Consider the following 20,761-nt stretch of genomic DNA (forward strand, 5'->3'; position numbering starts at 1 on the left):
AAAAGCAACAACAGCAGCATTAATAATGGCAATCAGAAAAGCAGGTGCAAAATGCACCACCGGAAAAATGCTGTTTTCCCGAGGAGGTGGCTGGGATGGGGCGAGATTAGAAAAGGGCTTGAGAGAGAAGGAGAAGATTGAGCAGGAAGTCAGAGATGACATTTTGGGCTGAAGGATGGGGACAGCTTATTCTCCCTAAGTACCCAGCATAATGAAATCTCAGGGATCTGAGGAAGTTAGTGGGTTGTTTACATACATAATTAAATACAATTCTATTTTTTGCAGAAGCAGATTAACACTTATTTCCCACTTATTTCTGAGACATGCAAAGTATTTTCAGAGCTTGAGTTTTTTTCAGTGATCAGATATGTCTGTGTAAGGAGCAGAAAGGCATCATAATGTCCATTTTGCAGATGAGAAATCATACAGAGAATCCAAGTCTCAGAAATGGCTCACTCTCAGGCACTTCAGCCTAAAGATCTTCTGTCACTCACTCTTGAAAACAATTTTCAAGAACTGACATCTTCCAGCATTGAAAAATGGGCATTCCTCTGCAGTTCAGGAAGAGTTGTACATTTTAACCTATTCTCTTGAAGACAACACTGATTACAGATATCAGAAGGGTGAAAATGTTGCATTTGATTGATCCAGCCATCTGACTTCTTAGGATTTAATCTAAGAAAATGATCTTGGAGATAGCAAAAGACATACCACCAGGATGTTCATTGTAGTGGTGTTTATACTAATGAAAACTCGAAAATAATTGACCCGTTTGGCAATATGAGATTTGTTAAACACATAGTGAGAGATATCATTACAAATTGTAGAAAAGTACTTAAGAGATACATAAGCTCCATTTATATTTGGGATGCTGTTAATGAGGGTAGCAGAGATGAGGTGGTGGGAAGGAAGCCAAGATCAACCTCTCTTGAAAGTTGCAACAAACCTCCGGTCTTCTGTTAGCCATCTGGGTGTGGCAATCACCTTAATCTTGGTGATGGAGAAACAGGGACTTGAGACTAAGCTGCCATCTTCCCTGCAGTAGGGAGTGGCTGATTGCTCTGATGGTGGGCAGGAAAAGAAGAGGTAGGTTTGGGAGCTGGACACCCTTTCCCTACAATAAATGGGCCAGGCATGCAATCCTTGTGGATGAAACCCAAGCGCAGTGGCTTCCTCTCCTCCTGCCAGGAGGCGGGCTGACAATCAGCATTCATGGACCATTGCCTGATTGCTCAGTTCTCTGCACACCTGTTAATTTCACCCCCCCGGAAACATGAGTGGCTCGCAGTGTGTTAAGGGGTGTGAATACACTGGTGCGTGCCTGTGTGCATGTGCGTGTGTGGGTGATGAAATTATTTAGCCAGTTATCACTGCCTGTTCCTGGGTTAGCTCTCAGTGGGAAAATGATGGAAGCTGTTTTGCCTTCTCCACAATGCTTATCTCTATCTTCTGAATTTGCAACACTAAATATAATGTTGTTTGTAATAGAAAAAAGAGCAAAAACATTATTTTTAAATATTGATGTTTCTAGTCAATAAAATAATCTGTTCCCCTTCCCACATCTCCCGCACAGTAAGCATGCTTGCAGATTCCTAGTTAAGCATTACTGCTTCCTCCCACACTGGACTTCACAGGGTCTCAGGAAAGAAACACACTCACGGTTCTCCTGTCAACCTGGATTCCATGTGTCCAAACAAAGGAATTGTAAAACGGCATGATTCTTTGAATCTCACCAGATTGTTAGCCTCATACGTCTTTCTTTTAAGTCTTGGGTATGGGAAACTTGAACTAAATCCTATTTGAAGAGCAGTGCCTTCAAAGTAAGATGCAGAGCGCTGTCTGCGTTTTTTATAGGGCACAGAACTACGGAGAGCACGCATCAAAGACCTCCGCCTAGCACGGGCAAAGGTCTGCTTCTGCATTTAAGCATCTGAGCCCTCAAGAGTTAGCTCCCGGGCTCCTCTGGAGCAAGGTTCCGCCCGGTCCCACGTACCTGCCTCGTCCGCCGTGATGGTGAGCTCGTTGCTGGGCTCGCTCTTGCCAATCCGGTTCTTGGCGTACATGCGGATGCTGTAGGTGGAGGAAGGGTGGATATCAATGATGGTGGCCGAGTTCAGCTGAGGGGAAACATCTTTGGTTCTCTGAGCAGAATCCCAGGAGTCTTTTGGGTTTTGTTTTTCAAAAAAGAAGAGATAGAGACGTGAGTTTTTTTCCTCTGCCTTTGAAAGTTCACAAGTAGGAATTAAAAACCAAAAAAAAAAAAAAAAAAAAAAAAAGACGGAAAGAAAGAAAAATTACACTCAAAGTGATTTCTGAATGCAATGTTCCCAGCTTTCTGGCAGAGTTGGCCATCAGAGGGGATGTGACATCCCACACACATTATTCACGCTGCGAGGGACATGGGGCAACAAGCCAGCTGAGTTCAGGGAGGGGTGATGGAGGAAGCACAGATCAGCCGACTGGGGGAGATCTCAGAAGGCAAATTCCAGTGGTGGAAGCTCAGGTTAGTGGAATGGACGATGGCCACTGTAAGCACTCATTGTATAGGACAGTACAATGAACTATGGTTTGGATAGTACCCCTGGGCCCCCCCAAAATCCCTGGCATTTGAAAACCAGCAAAACTTCAAGCCATATCAGATCCTTTCCTCCCCAAATAGAGTGTGGTAAAAACAAGATAATCCCATACAAACCAATCTCAAGTTCCAGAATAAATCCTGATTACCAAACATATTTTTTCAGTTCTATTTTTTGAAATCATTTAGTGCCAAATCCTTGGTTGTAGGAATTATTTTTCAACCACAGCTAATTATAACAGCAGCACCTACTTTGTGTGAAATGTTATCACTGAATCTGTGACATTTTGTATCTGGTGGTTTTCAGGCTTCAAGCAAGGATGAGAATGTCAATACGTGGTTCTTATATCAAAAGAGTTTGGGCAGTTGTTGACTGTAGGTGTGTGGTCGACAGCTGGTATTGGCTGGGGATGAAAAAAGGAGGGCCCAAGACAGTAGACAGAGATGGTGCCTACATATTCCCACCCTCCTCAGGGTCTGCCTTGGTGGTGCTCACCACACAAGTAAGTCTTCCATGGATAATCTGAATCTGTGTTCCCTGCTAGACTTTAAGCTCCAGGAGGGCAGAGGCCATGCTGGCCATACCCAGTCTTTTATCCCTAGTGCTAGCACAGTGCCTGGCTCATAGTAGACAAATAGTACATGAATGTTTAATAGAGGAACAAATAAACCACAAATACATGGACCTCTGAGTCTTGGGAATGGGGCCAATCACTTTGTCACACTAAGGGTGAGTATGGCAGTTTAGGGGACTTCTCTGTCCAGAGTTAAACATAAATGCAAGAGATTTTCTGGAATTGAAGAAAAAATATGTGGCTTAAAGACTGCTTTTGGATACTGTAACTTCTCAGAGAATGAAGCCTAATAGAATCTGACAATGAATATTGCAGTTAGAAGGAAAAAGCATATTTGGGGTCAAGAAGATTAGAGGTGGAAAAACATGAAATACAAAGAGTTGGAAAAAAATTGACAAGGGGAAGAATGGGATTCAATGGAAGACAAATGAGGAGAGGAAATTTTATATCAATGAAACGGCACACACCTATGAGGCTTGTCCCACAGAGAGAAAGCCAGACCTTCTGCAGAGATGTTTAGGAGGATGAGGAGGAATGCCAGGTGCCACAAGATGCAGAGACATTTGCTAAGTAGCCCCTGGAGGAAGTAGGCAGTTGTGGTGGTTGATGCCTCTGCCCAGGCAACATTGAAGTTTCTGAAACTGACGGGGCCAATGAAGATACAGCCATCTTCACTGGAGGCTCTTGTCTGGGAGTTGGCAGGCAGCCTGGAGAGGCATATGAGTGTCCATGACTGCAGTCCCTTACACCAATCCAAGGCATATGGTGGACCTGGGTAGGGTGGGGACAGTCCCCTCTTGGTGGTCACTGGGCACCTCCACATCCATGCCCTATAGGTTCCTTTAGCTCAGCCCCTATCTCAGTGATGTCACCTTGTTCAACAGTCTCCCAGTGTGACTTATAAATCCTCTCTGATGCTGCGTTTGCACCCTGTCTGTAGCAACTACCACTAACTCCCTCCAATGGGCTGGGGGACCCGTTACAAAGCCCATCCTCACCCTCCTGTCCGTGGCCTTCCCAGACTCTCCCCAGTCACACTTGCCACTTTTCAGATCTTGGATGTCCATGCATACATTTCTGTTTGTGTTTTACGCCTAAGAACTTTTTTATTGGGTCAATGGTGCATTCTTCCTAGTTATATTTATATCTCAATTTTCAGTTTCCTCCTCCCATCAGGTCAATGTGCTGGGCATTTTCAAACGTGACTTCTGTGGCCCCAAATCTGTGGGCACATTGGAAACACCTTGGGGCTTTTTGATAATTCTGCTTTCAGACCTACCAAACCAGAGTCTCTGGGGAATGGTGCCCAGAAACCTGTGCTTTTAAAAAGGCTCCCTATCTTGGTCATTCCGATGTATAGTTTGGACAGACTGCTTCATTTGATTAAAATTGTACAACATCCTGTCAAGGTAAGGTTTTTATTTCCTTAGTGAAAGTCAAGAAACTCAAGCCCTGTTACATAGCTGGTAACAAGAAGGGCTGGGATTTGGCCTCGCCTGTGTTATCTCCAAGTTCAAGGTCATTTTTCTGTAATGCATGACCTCCACATACTCTCTGAAAACACCTAATAAGACAGGATTTTGATATTTCCGGGCACCTGCTGAAAATCTCGTATGCCTAGAAGAAGACCTTCTGGCAAATTATTGACTTGACAATGCACAGAAATCGTTTGGTCAAATGTAAGAGAAGAAAACTTTGGCCAAGAATGACTGTACCATCTGTGGGTTTGTAGGAAGACTGAGAGGGCTGTATAGGCTCGGAGTTGCAGCCTGGTTTAGGAAGATGTCAGAAGCATTCACGAAAGAGTGGGCGGGATGCCATGGCTTGCTCCAGGGAGACTGGTGGTGTAGGAGGATGGGGCAGTTCAGAGTCCCACTGCAGCCTCTGTGAGGTGAGGAAGGAGTGAAGAGCTGACAGGAGCCAGTGAGACTGCGCTGGGTGCTTGCTGGGGAGCTCGCCTTGGGGGTCAGATACCCCAAATCCAGTGGATGCAAGAGCAACAAGGACTAATATAAGAGAGTGGACTTGGTATGAAGAAGTGCTGTTAGAGGCTAAAGACCAGAATGAGTGAAGGTGACTGAAAGTTCTGGAGGTGAATTACATGAAAGGTTTAACAATGGAGAGGTAGCTGGGAGAGGGAGCGGGCCCTTCATGTTGGTGAATAGGAGGAGGTGTGGGGACACAGGAGAGCCCCTTGTTCTCTGTCTTATTCTTCTCAAGGATAACAGTCCTCAGGGTGAACTAGGGGTGGGAAGACCAAGAGAGGAGAGGGGTTGGGGTGTGCACCTTCTGTGTCAGAGTCTGTGTTTCCTGGTTACCTTTCAGGGTGTGACAGAGCTTGCCATGGTGCTGAAACCTGGTCAGAGACCTGTGAGCCACCACGGACAGGAGGGAGGGACAAGAGAAACTGTGGACAGGACGGAGGCACCGGAGAAACTGTGGACAGCAGAGGCCAACAGAGAAACCGTGGACAGGAGGGAGGTACCAGAGAAACTGTGGACAGGAGGGGCCAGCAGAGAAACCGTGGACAGAACGGGCCACCAGAGAAACCGTGGACAGGAGGGGGTTACCAGAGAAACCGTGGACAGGGGGGGGTTACCAGAGAAACCGTGGACGGGGGGGGGTTACCAGAGAAACCGTGGACGGGGGGGCTACCAGAGAAACCGTGGACGGGGGGGGGTACCAGAGAAACCGTGGACAGGAGGGGGGTACCAGAGAAACCGTGGACGGGGGGGGTTACCAGAGAAACCGTGGACAGAACGGGCCACCAGAGAAACCGTGGACAGGAGGGGGCTACCAGAGAAACCGTGGACGGGGGGGGTTACCAGAGAAACCGTGGACAGAACGGGCCACCAGAGAAACCGTGGACAGGAGGGGGTTACCAGAGAAACCGTGGACGGGGGGGGTTACCAGAGAAACCGTGGACAGAACGGGCCACCAGAGAAACCGTGGACAGGAGGGGGCTACCAGAGAAACCGTGGACAGGAGGGGGCTACCAGAGAAACCGTGGACGGGGGGGGTTACCAGAGAAACCGTGGACAGGAGAGGCAACAAGAGAACCTGCGGACAGGAGATGGCCCCCACAGGAACAGACTCTGAAGGGCAGGCTGCCTTCCAAGGAAGGGAATAAAGGGAGGCAACAAACTGCAGACGAATCTGCTGGAGGTCCCCAGACAATATGCTCGAAGGGATGTTAAAGGTGGCCTTGGGTCCTTGTAGGGGAGAAGCAGTAGTCCCTGGGAATCAGAAAATATGGCAACCAAGGCAACCTGTGTAATTGCCACCTATGGGAGAAGAAGAATGTTCCAGATAAGGAAGGGACAGCTTCACTGTGCCTGTGCCCGCTCAGATGACGCCTCTGGTGCTGCCACTGGGCATGACCAGAGTTAGGGGGGCAGGAGATGATGACAGGAGATACAATAACAAGGACTTGGGGTGTTCAGTGTTTCCTGGAAAAGAGTAAACCAAGGAAAGTCATCTGTTGTCAAATCCTGGGAGGACTGTCATTTGGCCAAAGGGTTAAGAGGTGGGAGGAGAGACACTGGATCCAGGAAGGTCTATTTTGGTGCAATAAATGTAAGAACTTGTAGCAGTCACAGCTGGCCAAAGGCAGAGCTGTGCTCCCTGGGTTAGTGAGTTTCTGTTTCTCGGATTGTTCAAGCATAGAGTGAATGGTCACTTGCAGAAGTTCTTTCTGTTACGAATGTGAAGTACTTTAATACATTGGTTATATGCTGCTTTCTTTGAAAATTAATGAAAAGGAAAGGAAAACTTTTGGGGGGATAATTTCACCGTTGCCTAAAACAGATGTTGAGAGTCAACAATTTGACTAATGGTTATTATGAGTCTCGTATACATGTCAGGCACTATGAGGGGCACAGGGACATAGCATAAGGTTTGTCAGAGACAATTCCAGCCCTCAGGGCTCACTATGGCCCATAGGGGGACAACTGTTCAGTGGGGTGCAGATAGTAAATTAATAGTCACAAGCCCACCAAGTGTTCCAAGACATGCTATGAATAGTGAAGGGGAATAGGTAGTCAGGGAAGGCTTCCTGGAAGAAGTGACATTTAGGCTGTTATTAATACTTGAAGGATCAGTTTTCTATGTACTCAGTCTAAAACTACACTCACTTAAATTATGGTTGTAATTTTTATACACCAAAAATTTCTGGAGGAAGAAACTAATACATGAAAAATCTGACTAACACAACTCGTACAGCAGTGAGTACAGGTGCTATCTACTCTCAGCACAGCTCCTTCCTCCCAGGGCTTCCAAACTGAAAGTAATTGAAGTTCTGTAGGGTCCTGGTAGAGACCTTGGTCATGGACTTGGATCTGCTTGTCCTGTGGGCTTTTCTCCTGGGACCCATGCTGCCCCTTAAAATGACTTGCTCCAGGGCTACATAAACATCTTAGCCACACCACTGGCCCTGTCTCTGGTTGAAGTAGGGCATGAAGGATGGAAAAGAGTATCCCTCAATCCCGCCTGTACTCAGCTTTATAGACAAGGAGCTTTCCTGCTTTGGTTATATAAACCATGATCAATTTATACATTTAAAGATGCTGTTGATAATAATGATTCTTAGATTTCAATTGCATGTAAATTAATGCAATAAACATTTACAGTATGCTCTTCACTTGACATTGTGCTGGGTGCTGGGGATCCCAGGACACAGAGAACCAGAGTCCCTGCCTTTGGGAAACTCCTGGGTAAGAGTAGGGAGATAGTGAGGACACTTAGATGCTGAGTAAGTAGTTTAACACAGAGGGTTTTAGAGGCATTTTACTCCTAAGTATTTTCCTGCATGCTGGAGCAATCTACAAGCTACCACCTATTAGATGTTGAGTATGCTCCAGACAACGAGGAAGGCGTTTTCAATGTCTTCCCTTCTTAGAGTTCACCAATTTCCATTGAGTGTCTCCACATGTTGGGTGCGGTGCTGGGTGTTGGAGAAATGAGCTGGGTGAAAATAGACCTACTAGGTGCAGGGAGCCCCCAAGGAGCCTCTAGCGTGGTGGAGGTGAAATGCATTAATCAGCATATTTGTCAGTAATCATAGAGATACATATATAGTGACCCATAATGCCACCTGCCCAGATTGAAAGGGAGAAGGAGCTGGGTGAGCACCTGAGAATTGAGATCTATGGAGGGGGTAGTAACTGGGTGGCTCAGGGAAGGGAGGACTCCAGGCAGAGGGCAGCTGGTGGCCTTTGTGGTCTCCTTGCCAGTCCTTTGAGGTGGATGCAGCAGTGCCCACTTCACAGGTGAGATGCGCAAGCGAGGGTGCAGAGCTGGTGCAACGCAGGCCCAGCAGCGAATCCCACACAGGCTGGGTCCCAAATCACTGAGCCCAGGCCTGCCACCAGCATCCGGCAATGCCCGCTCCTCCATGAGGACAGGGGAGGTCCTGGGCTGCTCCAGTAGGAGAGGTCTCCTGTGTGCTCCCGCACCAACAGCATGGGCAGCCTGCAGCCCCATAGCCAGTGCGCAGCCAGTGAGATAAAGGGCTGTCCCTGTCCCCACGGTGCTCACTGCATCTGTCTGAGCTCTCATCACTGTCACTAAGTTCCAGGACAGTTTCTGCTCAAATGTGCCTGCCTCACCTAAGAAGCATTTGCTTCACTTCAAGACCTGTATACATGAACTTGTAAGAAAGGCAAGGTCAGCCTCTCCTCCCTGGGCCCTTGGGAAACCTGTTGGTCCTAGTCCCCAAAAGATGCTTGTTCAGCTCAGCACTGTCTTGGGTGAGCCCCCCAGGTCACTGTGCCTCACCCCTGAGCCCAGGGCCCTGGCTCTGCAGCATTTCTTGGCTACGGTGAGACTTGCAGTCCAATCAACCCCGGAAGGCCCTTCCTCAGACTTTGTGTAAGTGACACCTCACTTCTAGGCCCCCAGTTGCAACTCAGAGGCCGATGACCTGAGCCATTCCATCTTTCCTCATGTGCATTTCCAACCCAGCAGTCACAGATACTACTTTTCAAAACACTATTTTTTGTTTTGATCCATATCTTCTCAATCTTCAAATTCTGTTCTCCTGAATTCCCGAAGAGTCACCCCTCGGCTTGCCTTTGCAGTCACCATTTCCTGGCTCTGTTCCTGGCTTGCTCTTGCTGAAACATTTCCTCACTCCTGACCTGTGGTTCCCAGCTGCCTTGAGCTTGATTTTTTACTACAGCTTTAGTGCCAAAGATATTAGATGGGTCACAACTGGGTAATCTGAAATAACGTGCGGTATCCAGGAAGTGAAAAATAAAGCTGCTTTTGCGGCCTAGAAGGATTTTATTAACCCTTCCCATGCTGGTGGTGCTCGAATTCCTCATATCTTTTATGAGACACAGTAAAAATTCTGACTAGAGGCCACTGTGGTGGTATTCTACCCTCGCCCAATGCATCATAAAGTTCAAAATGGCCCGGGCATTGTTCCTTGAAGGCAATGAATGGGCACACCTGCAGCGGCCCTGGCAGCAGGGTCAGTTTTATTTATGGGCTCTGGGCCGAGTGGTCCTGGGTGCAGCAGCCAGTGTCGCCGATGGTCCCTGAGCATTTCCAGGAGGTTGCTCCAGAGTGAATTTTCCTTTTTCTGCACCAACCACCACTGCACAGTTTATCCGACCAACACCAAGCACAGCTTGAGCTCAACGCTCTGGGTGCAGGACATGGGCTCAGGCTCTACAAAAGTCACCCAGCTCGGGAAACGGGAAGTGAAGGGAGCAGGTGAAATAGAAAAGGTCATGGTGGGGGCCTGTCTCCATCAGCCACTGCCCACATGCCAACAGGAAGCTGCAATATCAAGGAGTCCAGCAGGAAGCAAGACTGAAGTCTGGGCTGGCTAAAAAAGAAAGAAGCAGAGCTGAGCCTCAACACGAAACTCCACTCCCACAGCAGAAAGCCAGGATGTGCTTCCAGCAAGGAGACTGGGGGAAGTGGTGCCCTCTGAGCTCCTGTGAGCTGAGCTGTGCGCTTACAGGTAAAACACATTAATAAGGAGAAAAATAAAAGAACTTTCTGAGGTGGAAGGGAAGCTGGAGGAAGTAAAGAACTTACCTGATTTATTTTTGCATTCAATATCGTAGCCTGTGATGGGACTGTTTCCATCAAACCCCATGGTCCACCTGAGCGTAATTGTGCGTGCTTTGACATCTTTGATCTCAATTTCGGGAGGGTCTGGGGGCTCTGTGCCATCAACAGAAAGACTACGAGTTAGTTCAAACAGAGCTCTGACATAAAACGCTAGTGGAAATGCTGAGCGTGACTCACAAACGATTTGTCTGCATTAGACAAGAACAGAAGCTTTTTATTTGGAAGCATTTTCTTTTTCCTAATCACATTTTAGGGAAGAGAAATTCCACTTTCCCAAGACTTCCAATTTTCATAGCCCTTAAGAACTGGACCAAGCCTGGAGGATATAAAATGTCACGATTCTAGTTTGGATCTCTAACTCAAAACATATTTTGGCCCCAAATGTTAAACTTCCCTTTCATTCTGGTCATCTAGTACATGGATTCCTAAAATTGAGCAAAGAAATTCCACCGCTGTACTTGTGTGCATGTGGCTTGACTGTCATGGGCTTGTCATCTTGACTGGTTCCTCTAAGGGCTTCGTTCCCTGTTTGGGGGCTTTACTTTGACATAATCCCAGGCACTGCAAAATTCTGCTTTAGCACTGACATTATACATATTCAAAATTTCCTGGGAATTAGGAAGTGTTACATGGCAAGTTGAGGACACAGAGATGCCTGAGGCTGAGCATACAGCTCCCATCCTGAAATGACTGTGTTTATTCTCTTACGCTATCGTCTTCCTACCTTGCACTGTGAGCTGAATTATTCCACGGTCCTCCCCATAAGAATTAATAGCATGGCAGGAAAAGAAACCAGAATCTTCTCTCACAGTTGGCAAAATCTATGTGTAAAGCAGAAAGAAATTCATCTTTTTCAGTAGGCAAAATGACTTTGAGCCGTAAAGCTCTCTCTCTCCACTCTTTCAGTTCTCCTGCCATGCCAAGCACACACATAGGTACACTCACACACACACACACACACTCACAAAACCCCCATTCCTCCAGACTCACATACTAAATCACACACATGCACGTATCCCTCTGAGGACAAATTATTTCAGTGTAATTGAAAGTAGGCGGATGGATAGGATTCACGTACATTATCCATGTCAGGTGTAGCTCATTAAATTGGATGTGTAATTTATATAAGATGTCGTGGTCAGCTTGACATATATCCCACATATACATTTTTTTTTTCATGGTATCCAAAGCAACCATGCCTAAAGAGACAGATTAAATACTGCAGGCAGGGCTGGGGGCCCGCAAGACTCGCATCAGATTCCTTTTCTAGGAGGATTCCAGGAATGGACCCTTGTCTGAGAGCCAATATAAGCATTTCAAACACAGGGCTTCCCCACCTCCCCACCCTGTGTGTGCTACAGTATCATCCTCCAACCGCATGACAACAGCACAAACCAGTTCACTGCTCACAGTCCTTTTCTCTAGCTTTTGTGATCCTCTTTTAACGACAGATTTTTTTTTTATTGTGGATTTTTCCAAAGAAGCAAGATAGTTTTTATGATAATATTTTTGTCCCAAAGCCCATCTCATTTTTCTTTTTGCAGGAAGTTAAAACATGCACACAGCATAGGCCATCATTCCTGAAGGATTAACTGTCATTTAAAAACCTTATTTCTCACTTTTTTTTTTTTTTTTTACTACATTTGGGTTCCCTGCTGCGTTCATAATAACCCTATTCTTAATAACACTTAGGCTGAAGCACTATTTTTGAAGGCTACTTCACTAATCTCGCTGTGTGAAAGGGGAGAGAAATAGTGCTTCGTAAATAAATTCCGAAAGATTATCTGCTACTTATCTGCACCCGCTTCTGTGAAAGGAAAGACTTATTCTTCCAATAAAGTTCATTCCATTGTGTTGTATTTGCCATGCTTTTACCTGCAGAGTAGAAATCACCTCTTCTCCCACCTCCTTGGTGGACACAAGATAACGGGCCATCTCAGGGTTAATGATTCGGTCCTCCTTCTCCCAGCGGACTATAATGGGCTTCTCACCATGCGCCGTGCAGCTCATCTCCTTTTTCTGCCCCTGCGTGGCCAGGGTAGTATTTGGATAGGATGTTATCATCGCAGGAACTGAAAAAGCAAAAGGGACACAACTTGTTCAGCAAAGCAGGGTTCTTGATTTTCCCTGGCAAAACACTCAGGTAAACCATGCTTCAAGAGATATTTCTTCAAAATGAAATTTATTCAAGAAACTGCTGCATGAGAATCTCGAGCAAAATAAAGGAAAGGCACCAGAAAAATGAAACTTGAGTAAGTGAGCCCTCAGCAGAAATTGCCATGCCGTTTCATATCCACGGCACGTTGCTCTTCCAACCCTGTTGAGGGCTATGGCCTATGTCCCTTAGCACACCCAGAATGATTGATATGGGTTGGCTGTGTCCCCACCCAAATCTCATCTGGAATTGTATGCCCATAATTCATTCCCATGTTTCATGGGAGGAACCTGGTGGGGGGTAATTGAGTCATGGAGGCGGATCTTTCCCATGCTGTTCTCATGATAGTGAGTAAGTCTTATGAGATCTGATGGTTTTAAAAATGGGATTTTCTCTGCACAAGTGCTCTCTCTTTGCCTGCTGCCAACCATGTAGGATGTGACTTGCTCCTCCTCGCCTTCCATCATGGTCATGAGGCCTCCCCAGCCACATGGAACTGTAAGTCCATTAAACCTCTTTCTTTTGTAAACAGCCCAGTCTCAGGCATGTCTGTATCAGCAGCATGAAAACGGACTAATACAATGATGTTACTGGTTTCTAACTATCATTATAAACAATGGGGATAAAACTTCCACTTTTAGTCAACTTTAGGTGAATCCCTTGTTGCTGCTAACCAGTCCTTGTAACCACTTTTCACAATGCCCATCTCCCACAGTTGTTATAAACCTTGCAAACCTTTATCAGTCACTGGAGACCTCAAACCTGTCCTTCTTCCATAACTTATAGCAGAGAATCTCGTCTCCAATTTACTGAGAAAAGGGAACCCTTTATTTGTGAAGCTTCTCAAGTTTCCTTTTCCCACATCAAAATTAAAAGAAGTCTAATACATAGACTTCTTTTCTTGGCAATAGATGACAAAAGATCCCACCCCAATTCCACAAGCCACTTATAAATTGTAGACTGCATATGACAAACACCTTTTAAAATGCATACTAAGCTTATCAGAAAGTGAGAGAAAAACCAGAGACCAAACACAAAAGCTGATAGTGAAAAGCCAGAGGTAATATATAATGGCGGTGCTTTGACTACCTGAGAGGCATGACATTAAATATGAGACCTCCAAAGCCAGGCTCCTCAAAGGGTTCTATCTTGACAGAAAGTATATAACCAAAATAATAATAACAATAAATAAAAATCCACAAAGGCAAAGAGAGAAGAAAGCTGCCTCAGCTTGTGTTATATATGTAGAAAAACAATCTCTCCCCTGAGAATTTATAAAACTGGCCTGACTCTACATAGGTCTGTAGTCAAATTCATGCTAAAGCTTTAACATGAAGGTGACCGTAATTTGATAATGGCCTGAGGAGCCTAGCAAAAGCTAACATACTCTAGAAGAATGTGTCCTCTGTCCAGGCCCACTGAAATGCACCCAGATAAAGCCCTGCTGGCCGTGAGCTCACAAACTGAAACTAAAGAACACATGAGAAAACTAACACCATGATTGAGAACCAGCCTCCCAGGACTTCAGATGATACAGTTGTCAGATACAGACTGCAAAATAACTATGCAAGAATGTTTAAAGATATTTTAAAAATATGATAAAGGAACAAGATGTTAACAAAAAGGACTAGAAAGGTTTGAAAATTCATCAAAACATAACAACCTTTTTATTTGCTTTTTATCTCATTTCCCCAATCACAGGAAGAAGCTCCCTTCCCCCATTTCTGAGGTCAAGCTCAGACTACGTACTTGATTGCTTGCCTCGTAAGACTTCCAAGGTACTTGACCATAGAAACACTGTGGCTTCTTCTAAGACTGGCACATACTGGGTCATGTCTTTTCCCATGGCTTACTAGAGAGGTTTGAGACATATAATGAAACGTCAAAATACTACCAGTTCCGTAGCCTGAACACCCACAGAAGAACCTACATTTGGGAGTTTCTCTAGAGTCAGCAGCCATGTGGCAGAGATGTGCCCCACAGCACTGACCGTGTAATAAGATGGAAAGTAGGCAAATTGGTGACTCAAGAAAGAGGTGCCAAGAGTCCTGCATATCAAGGACAGTTGCTCACAACTGTTGTGAAATTCCTTTTCTGGCATTTCTGAGATGCAGCAAAACTGGCTGTACTGTCCCCAGCCTTTGGTTCTGATCCCCCCCTTCCCCTAGCCTATAAAATAAATAAAAATGTTTATTTTTATTAATAGCTTTATTGTGGTATAATATCCATACCATAAAATTCACCTGTTTTAAGTGTGCAATTCAGTTGTACACTTAATATTGCATTCGCTTCCTAGAGTGCCTGTAACAAATTACTAGAATCTATGTGGCTTATAATAACAGAAATTTCTTCTCTCACAGTTCTGGAGGCTGGAATTCCAAAATCAAGTCGACAACAGAGCCATGCTCCCTCTAAGAGCTCTAGAGGAAGACCCTTCCTTGCCTCTTCCAGCTTCTGGTGGCCCCAGGCATTCCTTGGCTTGTGGCGGCAAAACTTCAGCTTCTGCCTTATCTTCACATAATTTACATTCTTCTTTGAATGTTTCTGTGTCTTTTCACATGGACTTCTTATGAGGATACCAGTCACTGGATTTAGGACCTACCCTAATGCAGTATGATCTCTTCTTAACGAATTATATTTGCAAAGACTCTATTTCCATATAAGGTCATATTCCAAGGTTCTAAGGGGACATTAATTTTTGGGGATACTATTCAACCCATTACAAATATATTTATATTATCCAGTACATATACATATATACCATTATAACCTGTATACAAATATACACAGTTGTATAATCATCACTGAATCAAATCTTAAAGCATTTACATTACCCCAAAAGATTTCTCCTGCCCATTTGCAGTCATTTCTCTTTTCCCCCTCAAGTTCTAAGCAATCACTAATCTACCTTCTCTCCCTGATATGGTTTGGCTGTGTCCCCACCCAACTCTCATCTTGAATTGTAGTTTCCATAAATACAATTCGTCTCCCATAGTGTCATGGGAGAGGCCTGGTGGGAGATAATTGAATCATAGGGGTGGTTACCTCCATGCTGGTCTCGTGATAGTGAGTGAGGTCTCACAAGAGCTAATGGTTTTATGAGGGGCTTTCCGCCCTTTACTCTGCACTTCCCCTTCCTGCCGCCATGTGAAGAAGCATATGTTTGCTTCCCCTTTCACCATGATTGTAAGTTTCCTGAGGCTTCCCTAGTCGCATAGGACTGTGACTCAGTTAAGCCTCCTTCCTTTATAAATTACCCAGTCTCTGGTATGTCTTTAAAAGAACAGACTAACACAATACCCGTATTACCTTTTTAGATCATTTTTTATAAATGGAATCATATAGCATGTATTCTTTAGTATCTAGCTTTCTGGATTTTTTTCACTAAGCATAATGTTGTCAAGGTTCATCCATGTCATAGCACAGTACTTTGTTCCTTTTTATTGCTAAATGATATTGCAGCACACGGATATACTGCATTTTTTTAAATCCACTCACCCACTGATGCACACTGGGGTTGTTTCTACTTTGGGGCTATTATGAGTAATTATACTATAAATATTCCTGTATAAGCTGTTGTGTGAACAAATGTTTTCATTTTTTTCCAGGAGAGATTCCTAGAAGTGGAACTACTGGGTTATATGGCAATTTCATGTTTAACATTTTGAGAAACTGCCACACTGTTTGACCAAGTGGCAGCACCATTTTGCACTCTTGTGGCCGGAGATTGGAGAGAGAAGAGGGAATAAGAGGAGGTGTTAAGATTCAGCATTTATGGTGAGGGAACAAGAACATTCCCTTTCAACCATTTGAGTTCAACAATTTAAGTTCAACCATTTGAATTCAACAGGGGAACTCAAAGAGTAGAGATTGGGTGCACCTATAAAAAGGTGAGCTGGCATGTTCCTCGACAGCTGGAGGCTTACTGGCTGTAGAAACCCCAGGCTCACCATGGATCTGCCATCACAGAGGAACTGAAGGTGGTGGCACTTTCTGTTTGGCCTCAATCCACTAATCAAGATTTTTTCTCATACGGGAAAGAGGCTAACTCAAGATAATTAGAGATCTCAAAGCCAACAAAAGTAACCTAAATTACAAAACTGTGAATAAATAAATTACAGGCCTATGAACAAGAAAATATTTACTCCTCATTCTTTCTCTCACGACTGGGGAATGTGAATCAGAAACCATGACACCCACATATAATTTAGCTTTGAAAGGTGACCCCTGTCCACTACCATCAACCCCCACGCCCCAATTCCTGATGAGTGTCCTGATTCCTGCAACACCCTCATCCTTAGAATAAAATATAGAAACTCTTGTTGCAAAACTGAAAATCAATCCATGTTTAATGCCTCCCAGTCTCCTGGGCATCTCAAGGCTATGGTCAGGATTTCCTATTTTGCAGTGTTTGTAAAAAGGAAATGTATAAAATGGTAAGACATAAAAACAGACAGTTTTCCTTTGAGAACTTGGTAAGTCACCATCATCACCTCCCAAATCCAGGGTAGTTTAACACTCACTGACTATATTCCAATGAGAGCAAGCCAATTCTGAAGTAAGGGTTTCTGTCCTATTCTAGGAGCTCCAAGGCTGGTGTTGACCCAGAATGTAATTCCCTAGTACTTTAAAACCACCAACTGGAAGAACTGTTCTCCAAAAACTGCAGCATTGTTTTGAGGACTTGTTTGTTTTCTTCTCTTTTCCTTTTTTAAAAAAATAATCACAAGTTTTATCGCATTTGATGAGAGAAGTACCTTGGCCAAACCATAGACCTCTGGTTTGTTTATGACTTGCCCATCTTAATCTGCACACAATACTCCTCAGTTTTATTTAGATTTCTACTTTGAAAGAGTGCCCTACTAAAATGGGTATTTTTGTTCTGGTTATTAAATTCAGCACTTAGAGAGAAATGCTCTGACTAGCCCATGTTCTCCTATCCAGCTCAAGTATTTTCAGCCCTTTAAAGTAATGGTGGAAAGGAAAAAATGAATCATTACCATGGCTTCTTTGCAATGCTAATGTTTGAAGGCATGACCTTTTCACTTGTCACAGTTATGGATGCCTAGAGATGACAACATGTCTGTACAGCAGCCCTTTTTGCGAGGATTTCTGAAGCATAACAAATGGATGGGGTAATTTAACAGGGATTGGTACCAAGGAGAGGCTGTGGGCAAACCCTGCTAGCAGGGCCAAGGGAGATCCAGACCCAAGAAGGCTTTGTCCAAAGGTTGTGTGCTGCGTGCCTCTCTTGCAAAATTACCCATTGAGGAAGGTGCTGTTTTACATCATATCAATTTATAAATTTGCTTCATAAACTATAATATTATCTAACAGCATCCTTAATGCTCAGTAAATCTGTGTTCTTATGATATAAGGGAGCATCCCTCTGACCTACTTTTTTGCAGCATAAAGATGCAGTGGTGTAGTGGAGCTGCTGTCATTGGCCAGGGAGATCTGATTGTGCACATCTCTGCCCAGCTTGGCAGTGCAGTCATGTCTCTTTCCCATTTAGCTTGAAATTGGCAATGGTGGTAGTATTTATACCACTGAAATTGGCGAGTGCTAGAAATCACGGCTTTCTCCATCCTCTCCCCCTCAATAGCTAATTGTTAAACATTTACCAGAATAATACTTAGGAGAGTGTTTCACTATATTAATAATTTTAAAGGGTGTTCCCATCGTACAAGAGATACTGAGAAGATAGTAAGATTAAGCTAAGAGCAATAATTAACTTTATCAATGAAAGTAAACCCTTATTTATTAATTAAATAATTAAAATATGAACAGTTTGTCACTGTACGTTTTGACAAGTAATTCAGTGATAAATTGATGAATATCTTAATTTTTTAACCCTAGGATACAGAGAGAATGAAAAATTCTATCAATAAATCACTGATATTAAAGACTGGTTCCAAACTTTACTCTCAAGTCTTTTAATGACTCTATCAATAATGCAAAATTAATCCTTATACATTTTTATGGTTTTTGTTCCTACCTGGTTCTGCTGAAAAGAAAACAGATTGAAAAGAAAACAACTGAAAAGAAAACAGGAGAAAGTACCAAACAGCCTGGATAATCCCGAATGAGACAAGATTCCTGTCACAAGCATCTGGCTCAATACTTTCATTTTATAGAGAAGAAAGGGTGTCAAATGCCCAAATACAGGAGTCCATCAGGATCTGACTCTGATCGGTCCTATTTGAAAACCATCATCGTCATGATCACCCCAAACATAGGAGATGGCCAACTGTCCCAGGGTGTCCAGGACTTCCAGTGTTTTAACACAGGAAGTCTGTATCCTGGGAAGTTTCTCAGTCCCTCCAGGCATTCAGAGCAGATATGGCAGAGGAGGGTGTGGAGCCAAGAACGAGGCAGCATAAACCTGGCCCAATGCCCAAGATGGGAAACTGAGGCAGGAATTACAGGGTTCCCGGGTGGGAGGTCAAAAGAAGGAGATGCTCTGGGACATAAACACATTTTAAAGCTATTTTTTCAAGTCCCTTTTAAACCAGTCCTCCCAAATTTTTATTATGAAAAAATTTCAAACATACAGGAAGCCAATCAGCCATGTATCTACTGCCTGGATTCCACAGTTCACACTTTAATGCACAGTGTTGAATCAAAATGTGTTTTCTTTGTTATCAAGATTTACTGAATACATTTTTTTTATTATTCTATTTTAAAACTACCTTGGGTAAACACATACATCAGCGTGGGTCTCAAAGGTCGAGCTGTAAGATGGCAGCCACCTGCCTGGATTCTGCAGCTCAGGGTGCAGACCCACTGGCCTCCTGGTGTCCCAGGTAAAGGAACTGCCGCACCCTGGCCTGCAGAGGTGATGTGGGGTTAGGTGGTGCCTGGGGTAGAGTGGTGCCCCTCACATATGTCTTACCAAAAGGAAAGGTGAGGAAGGGGCCTGGGAGCAGAGAATCTGACTCCAACCTCCTGCCGCTGGGACTGGGCAGGACCCTTGGCCGTCCTGGGTTTTGGCTTTCTCACCTGAGTCATAGAGGAGCTGAATGGGATCACGGGCTCTCAACCTGGCCTGTATCTCGGAATCACCTAGAAGCCTTTAAAATAGGCCAGTGCTCAGGCCCCACCGCACGTTGGCTCAGAGTCCCTGGGGGTGGGGGTTATGCATGGATTTATTTAAGTTTCCCAGACGATCCTAAAATATACAGCCTGGATTGAAACAACTCAATCCGATGATCCCCAAGGTCTTTTCCCCCACTAATTGCCATTTCCCCTCCTTCTCCTTTTTTCTTTATTTCTTTCCCTCTATCCTTCTGTTCCTCCCTCCCAATTTTTTCTTCATTTTTCCCTTCCTTCCTTCTTCACTTTCCCCTCTCTTTCTTCTGTTTCATCCTCCCTCTATTTCTGTCTCCTGCTTTTTTCTGTTTTCTCCTTCACAGTGCCATAATAACAACAATAGCTAATTTTTATGAGTGTTGACTGTGTGCTAAGAACTTTTCCATATACTGCATAAGTATTTCAGCCATACGACATGATGGAATAAAAACACTAGCCATGGAAATGACCCAAGACACATGAGTACTATTTTAAGTTGATTCTAAATTATGCTATAAATAGAAGTGAGACACATAGACAAAACATTTCCAGCAGATTAATTGGATTTGCATCTATATTAACAAAGGTCTATGCAGATGGTCAAATAGAAACCAGACACCAAACACCGCCTTTAAATGGGCAAAAATAAAGATTAGAATATAAGAGAATTTTGGAATTAATTTCTACTTGACATCTTCTCCCCTTTCTCCTTAATTTCTTTCTTTCTTTCTTTTTTTCTTTTTTGAGACGGAGTCTTGCTCTGTGGCCCAGGCTGGAGTGCAGTGTCGCAATCTTGGCTCACTGCAAGCTCCGCCTCCCGGGTTCACACCATTCTCCTGCCTCAGCCTCCCGAGTAGCTGGGACTACAGGCGCCCACAACCACGCCCAGCTAATTTTTTGTATTTTTAGTAGAGAGAGGGTTTCACCTTGTTAGCCAGGATGGTCTCGATCTCCTGACCTTGCGATCCACCCACCTCGGCCTCCCAAAGTGCTGGGATTACAGGCGTGAGCCACCGCGCCCAGCCTCTCCTTAATTTCTAAGTAAGGAAACAGAGAACTAGGGGGTTTAAGACTGGAAATGACTAGACCTATTCCCCTTGCCTCTCTCCTATCCCTAATGCAAAGTTCTATTTTATTTAGTAAGTTTATTAAAAAATCAATATTACCATAAAAGTAATACAGTAAAATGATCTTCATTAATCCCTAAAGTGATGAATCTTTCCCATCCCCTCTCTTCCCTTCTCTTTCCTCCTTCCTTCCTCCAGGGTCTGGAAAGCTAAATGGTAGTAGCAGCACAGTTAG

At 44.3% G+C, this 20,761-nt stretch overlaps 1 protein-coding gene across 4 annotated transcripts in view; it reads right to left on the reverse strand.

The window, feature by feature from the left end:
* Positions 1–20,761, reverse strand: part of DSCAM (DS cell adhesion molecule) — an 836,160-nt gene that overhangs the window by 165,935 nt on the left and 649,464 nt on the right. For all 4 annotated transcript variants that reach the window (NR_073202.3, NM_001271534.3, NM_001389.5 and 1 more), the window contains 4 exons: positions 12,109–12,305; positions 10,958–11,054; positions 10,198–10,326; positions 1,994–2,161 (listed from right to left, as the gene is read on the reverse strand). Coding sequence is in view for 3 of the 4 variants with exons in the window: in NM_001271534.3 (NP_001258463.1) it covers positions 1,994–2,161; positions 10,198–10,326; positions 10,958–11,054; positions 12,109–12,305 (591 nt within the window). In the remaining variant the exon portion in view is untranslated. The remainder of the gene's footprint in view (positions 1–1,993; positions 2,162–10,197; positions 10,327–10,957; positions 11,055–12,108; positions 12,306–20,761) is intronic.

This window comes from Homo sapiens, chromosome 21, assembly GCF_000001405.40.
Source record: "Homo sapiens chromosome 21, GRCh38.p14 Primary Assembly".
In the NCBI taxonomy this organism is placed as follows: domain Eukaryota; kingdom Metazoa; phylum Chordata; class Mammalia; order Primates; family Hominidae; genus Homo; species Homo sapiens.